Consider the following 6,512-nt stretch of genomic DNA (forward strand, 5'->3'; position numbering starts at 1 on the left):
GGACTTCCAGACTTCAGAACTGTCAGAAAATAAATTCTCTTGTTTAAGCCACCTTGTTTATGGTATTTTGTTTTAGCAGCTGAGCTAATACAGTTGCCAACAAATGCAACTGCAAGTGCAGGGCAGTTAGCACCCCCAGGGGCAGCTCTCAACCAGAATTTGGTAAATACATGCCCCAGCTCCCCTACCCTCCAGCAGGACAATAATAAGGTGCTATAGACTTGAATGTTTGTGTCCCCCTAAAATTCATGTGTTGAAACCTAATTCCCAATGTGATGGTATTTGGAGAGGTGAGGTCTTTTGCAAGTGATTAGGTCATGAGGGTGGGGCCCTCATTAATGAGATTAGTGCCCTTATCATAGAGACCCCAGAGAATTATCTCATTCCTTCCACCAGGTAAGAGAACACAGTGAGAAGATGGCCATCTATGGACCAAGAATTGGGCCCTCACCAAACACTGAAACTGTCATGCTTTGATCTTGGACTTCTCAGCCTCTAGATTGTGAGAAATAGATTCTGAGCTGGACTGAGCCTCGGTCACTTACATGGAAGACTTGGTCATTCATAAATTTATTAGCTTTTCCCTCTTCCCTGTCTCACTCTCTTTCTGCTTCCTGGGATCACTTCCCCACTAAACTAACAGCTTTTGGGGGAATCCAAACTAAGACACATGCTGTAGAAAAAAGCCAGAAAGCAATGAACATAAAAGCCAGAATAGGGATGAGCTCTCGGCAGGGGTTGAGAGGAGAAAGGCTTAGCACTATGGATGGTGTGAAGAGGGCTTCTAGGGATATTCTATTCTATTTTATTCTAGGCCTGGCTGGTGGTTGCACGTGTGTGATAAATCATTGAGTGTTCGTTTTGTTTTGTGCACTTTTCTGCATCATATTTCATAATATAAAAGTTTAATAATCCATGATGTTAAGATCAAAGATTAAAATAATTTGAAATGTTCATGCTTTTATTAGTTGCATAATGAGTAGTTAAGTGTTTAGAAAGTTCTGGTTAGTCGATTCAGAATTTTAATAAATTGAACAAACAGATAAAACACAAAAGCCACTCGAACTTTAAAGATCCCGGCCACATATTGTCTGGCAGTTGCTTCTTTCCAGACCCAAGCAGATGTTGGCTGGGACTTCTCTATGGATGTTGGGTGTTGACTGTTCTCACAGGTGAACTGTAAATAGAAGCAGAGGGGGGGCTCTCAGGCATGGGGCAGCAGGCTGAGCCTCAGAGGACCTTGGGCTTCTCTAGTGGCTGCCTCTGCCTGGTTCCTGGAGCTGTCCCGATAAGGTTGCCAAGTGGAGCAAATCAGAATACAGAATGCCAAATGTTGCCTGGAACATGCTGAGCATAAAAATTACTCTCTGTTTATCTGAAATTCAAATTTAACTGGGTATTTGTATTTTATTTGGCAACTGTGTGACCCAATGAGGCTTTACCCAGCCCACGAACAGGGAGGCTGCAGCTGCCTGGGTGCCAACCATGCCTGGATTCTACCACCTTAGTTCTAGAACCTCGGCGGCCCAACACCCTTTGGCTCCAGCATTGCCCAACGTCTAGACCCTGGGTTCATGCTCTGGCTCAGCTCAGAGGGCAACCATGACCCTGTAGGTTCTAATTCCCCCTTGCCCCAGTTCTTCCAGAAGACCTAAAGTCCAGGGTTTGCTTCCACAAGTACGTTATGAGAAGGACATACGTTTGGAAATCAGAATTCATTTTCCTGCAGAAATGGTTCAATGGAGTTTCACCGGCATGCCCAGGGCAGCCCAGGACAATCTGTTTTATCCCACAGTGTGCCCGTGTGTGCCCGGGTAAATCGCGCAACTTCAACCGATCCTACTCCACGTACAGTAAATAAGCATGTGGGTGTCAGTGCTCGGCCTCTGCCAGGTGTTGCAGGAGGTGCCAAAAAAGAATTGGATGGCCCTGTCCTCTGGAGTTTGCAATGTGTTGTCATTACAGGACTGTAATTTTGTGACTTTCTTCATATGGACACAAAATGTCTGGATTCTAACTCAGAGTTTCAGGGTGGCTGCTGGGCTCCCATCAGGAGGAGGCGTGGCAATAGGAATAGCGTGTGTGTGTGTGTGTGCACATATCTGAGAGTATGAGAGTGTGTGTGTGTGCACATGTGTGCATGTATGTGCACATATCTGAGAGCATGTGTGCACATATGTGTGCATGCTTGTGTGTGTGTATGAGTCTAGATCATGTCAGAGCCACAGAGGCTATCTGAAGAGAGGGAAGCAATATTGACTGCAGGTCGCTAATAATTCATTAACTCCAGATAACATAAGAGAATGCACTTCGTGTTTTTTTGTTTTTTTTTTTTCACAAGATCTCTTGCCCAGGCTGGAGTGCAGTGGCACAGTCTCAGCTCACTGCAGCTTCGACTTCCCCGGCTCAGGTGATCTTCCCACCTCAGCCCCCTAAGTAGCTGGAACTACCTACAGGTGCACGCCACCACGCCTGGCTAATTCTTTGTATTTTTAGCAGAGAAAGGCTTTCACTGTGTTGCCCAGGCTGGTCTTGAACTCCTAGGCTTGAGCCATCTGTCTGACTCAGTCTCCCCAAGTGCTGGGATTCCAGGTGTGAGCCACCATGCCCGGCCGAGAATGCACCTTTCTCTATGTTTGCACAGCACACACTTTGTACACACAGGTACACACGCACACCCATGTCTGTCACTGCTCAGATCTGAATTGGGAGCCACAAGCTGTCCACGTTGTAAGTCAGGGAATGGGATGGGCAGGGGTGGTAGAGACAATGGGACGGCACAGTCCCTTGAGGAGGCTGAGGACTGAGAACATGACCAAGGGGATTCGGATGCCATCTCTGAATCCCACCTCCCGCCCGCACCAGAGGACGGTAGATGCTGTATAAATAATCGCTGCACGAATGGAGGAATGACCACAAGGCCTGGGAGGCTCTCCCGCTCCAACCTTGCCTGTGTCATGACCCCACTCCATCCAAGTCTCAGGCTTCTGGATAGAAAAGAAATGGTGGAGATAATGCCCATTCCTGAAGCTATGATGACTACATGAGGTTAAAATACGGAAACACCTTAACACAGTGACTAGCACGAGATCTGTTATCACAAATAACGTTATTCATAAAAATTCACTTGGCTTCATGCTTTGCAGAAAAAGTGTGTTCACAAAGTAGAAAGAAAAATCCAGCCTTAGAACCAAGAATCTTTACAAGGTCAGGAAAAGCTTCTCCCTTTCCCCACCTCCTGCTCCGAGGTTTTCCTGCTGCCTCCCGGGAAAGGTGGGACTCTTCCACCACCTTGTGGACACCCAGGGATGGCAGGTGAGCAGGCTTCCACCGCCTCACACCAGCTCTCCTCTGCACTGTTGGAGCCTATTATTCTGGGTCCGACTGGGTCTCTCTAGGCTCACACTGTGCATGTCCTGTCTCCATCCTCTGTTCCTTTCTGGGCTGGGGCAGTGGATGGGGCTCCTGTGTCCTCCTGGCTGCCTGCCGGTCCCCGTGTACGTGGCAGGGCTGCAGCAGTCCCCTGTTTTCCTTAGATCCTGGCGTGGAGTTGGTGTGGCTCCTGCTTCCCTGGGGCCCTGGCTGGCCCCGTAGACCCCTCCAGGTCTCTCTGCCAAAGTCCCCCCACCCAGCCACCTGGCCCAACTGTCCTTCCCACAGTGAGGCTGAGGGTCCCCCCACCCCACGTCATGTCCCAGCCCCACGGGGCCATTGCAGCTTCAGCTCTGCATCCAGGCACTGAATGGGAGCCACAAGAGCCTCACAGGGCAAATTAGAGCCCCCACTGTTCTGATCCCCCAGCCGGGCTGCGGCCGCTGTGTTGGTGTACGGGGGCTCTGCCCAGAGCAAACTCTGCCACGACAGGGCTGAGGCGCAGGGAGAAAGGAGCTGGGATGCACCCCAAGCACCTTCCTCCCCCTCACTCTCCCTCCTCCCTCTGCCATCCTTCCCCCACACCCAGGACCGGAAGGGCGAGCGTCTCTTGTCTTTCCTGCATGTTCTGTCAGCCCCTTCCACTCTGGCCCCCAGTCTAGACCTATTGTCGAGACAGGAGAAATCTTGTCTGCCCCCAGGGAGAAACACTGCTCTCTGCCCTGAACTTGGAGGGGCTAAAAAGCAAAAGCTCTAGCCTTAGAAGGTTCTCACTTTGGAAGTTTAAAAAAGGTCAAAGGAATTTTCAAAATCCCTTTCTTTCTCAACAATGCTTAGATTTCAAACCTCTTCTCTTGTTGCAAAATCCCGTTGTGAACATCAGAACCTCGAGATGATCTTTAAGTTTTCTCAGCATTCCCCATCTTCTCTCCCCTCTGCAAGCAGCTAAAAGTTACAGAAGCAGTTGAAGCCAGCAACTCCCCACCCCCATCTCCTCCTCTCCTGGGGACAGGGGCCCCATCTCTCAGCCCTGTTGTGGGTTGGGTGTGGCCGGTGTGGCTGTGTGGCAGGGTCCTAGCCAATGGGATTCGAGTGGAACGTGGGCCTCCTGCACACCTGGCCCCGTGGGCAGGCACCACCTGGGCTCCTCCCTCAGTGCACCAGGGCAGAGCAAGATGGAGGCAACCGGGATCCCTGAATGGCTTCACAGAGGTCCCCACCCATCAGGCACACTTCTGCCAACCTCATGTGGAAGTAAGCTTCTATTGCATTAAGTCCCTGAGGTGCTGAAGCTCATCAGTTGATGGCAGGCCACTTGCATGCAAAATAGAAAAGGACATCGGTATTTTTTTCAAGCTGTTACCCTGTTATAGAGATAAAAGAAGCCAGAACCAGCCCCCTCCAGTGGCTCCTTCTCTTCAGCCTGGGCAGGATCTGTTGAAATTCCCATGGTGTCCTCTGGGGCCCTCTGCCCTGCGCCTCTCCCTGGCAGTGCGAGGTCCACAGTTCACCTGCAATTAGCTCCCATGTGCAGGGGACTCATAAAGGAGCATCTTTGAGCTCCAGACCCAAGTGTCTGGTGGCCTAGAGGCTGCGAAGGCCCTCAAGCTCAGCATATCCCAAAGCAAACCTATGGCATTCACTCCAGCACACACCTGCTTTGGCCTCCATGAATCCACTCTCTTCCCTCATCGCTCAAGCTAGAAACTTCTTAGCACCACCCTCGCTGTTCCTGTACCCCCCCACCTTCAGTCAATCATGGAGTCCTAAGTCCCCGGCCAGTCCATCACCTCTCTCCCTCTACCAACACCCCCAACTCTCCCACCTGTGCCACCCGGTACGCCCATGTGGTCCCCTGGTTCCCTCCAATCTGTTTTCACTCTGAGCTTTATGATCTTTGCTAACTGTGAATAGGATTCATGCCATCCACTCCCCTACATAAAACCTTTCTAGGCTTCTCTTTGCTCTTAGAAACTGGCAACTGCCTAAGAGGCCACACCTGGGCCTGTCCCACCTCCCCAGCCCTCACCTCCTTCCCAGGCCTCTGCATCCCTGTCCCCCTCCACTTCCTTTGCAGTGTGCCTCCAGGCCCTCTCCCCTCCGGAGCTCTGCCAGTGCAGAGCTCTCTGAGCCCTCTGTGTGGGACATGCTGTTCTCTCTACTTGGCCTGGTAGGGCTCCTTGAGGAGCCCTCGACCCTCCCAATGGGGTGGAATCCGCCGCGGTAAACTTCCACAGGGCCCCGTGCCCCCACTCTGCAGCGCTTCCCTGGGGTTATTATTCCACTACCAGCTGCATAATTATTTCATCCGTAATTATTGGACTCAGCCCAGCTCACTTCTGCCCCTGGCCTTTGCACTTGCTCTTCCCAGTGCCTGGCGTGACCTTCCCCACACGTCAGTCTGGCTGGCCCCCCTAGCTCCTCAGGTCCTTCTTTTCTTTTTGAGATGGAGTCTCACTCTGTGGCCCAGGCTGGAGTGCAGTGGCACGATCTCAGCTCACTGCAACCCCTGCCTCCCAGGTTCAAGCGATTCTCCTGCCTCAGCTGAGTAGCTGAGATTACAGGCACCCAGCACCACGTGTGGCTAATTTTTATATTTTTAGTAGAGATGGGGGTTTTGCCATGTTGGCCAGGCTGGTCTCGAACTCCAGACCTCAGGTGATCTGCCCCTCTCGGCCTCCCAGAGCGCAGGGATTACAGGTGTGAGCCACCGTGCCCGGCCTGCTCCGCAAATCCTCCTTCTAGTGTCACCTTCCAGGTGAGGACTCGCCAACAACCTGATAGAAACCTGCAAGGCCAGCGCCTCTGCAGCCCCACACTCCCTAACCCCTTCTCTAGGGCATTGCCATCTTCTGACATACCATTTATTTTATGTCTTGTTTAATGTGTGTGTGTCTCTCTCTTAAATGTCATGCAGCCGGGTGCGGTGGCTCACACCTGTACTTTGGGAGGCCGAGGCAGAAGGATCACTTGAGCCCAGGAGTCGAGACCAGCCTGGGCAACATAGCAAGGCCCTGCCTCTCTGTATTTTAAAAAATGAAGTAAATAATAAATACATAAAGTATTTATGTATTTACTTACATTACAAAGTTCCCCCAGGGGCGGGAACTTTGCCTTGTTCTTGCGGCATCCCCAGTGCC

At 51.3% G+C, this 6,512-nt stretch overlaps 2 annotated features.

The window, feature by feature from the left end:
* Nucleotides 3,186-3,235: a silencer, noted in NCBI's record as "silent region_192". NCBI's record gives its function as "represses an Ori minimal core promoter by ATAC-STARR-seq in GM12878 lymphoblastoid cells {active_cell/tissue: GM12878}" and the evidence as "EXISTENCE:reporter gene assay evidence [ECO:0000049][PMID:35858748]".
* Nucleotides 3,276-3,325: a silencer, noted in NCBI's record as "silent region_193". NCBI's record gives its function as "represses an Ori minimal core promoter by ATAC-STARR-seq in GM12878 lymphoblastoid cells {active_cell/tissue: GM12878}" and the evidence as "EXISTENCE:reporter gene assay evidence [ECO:0000049][PMID:35858748]".

Source organism: Homo sapiens, chromosome 1 (assembly GCF_000001405.40).
Source record: "Homo sapiens chromosome 1, GRCh38.p14 Primary Assembly".
Lineage (NCBI taxonomy): Eukaryota > Metazoa > Chordata > Mammalia > Primates > Hominidae > Homo > Homo sapiens.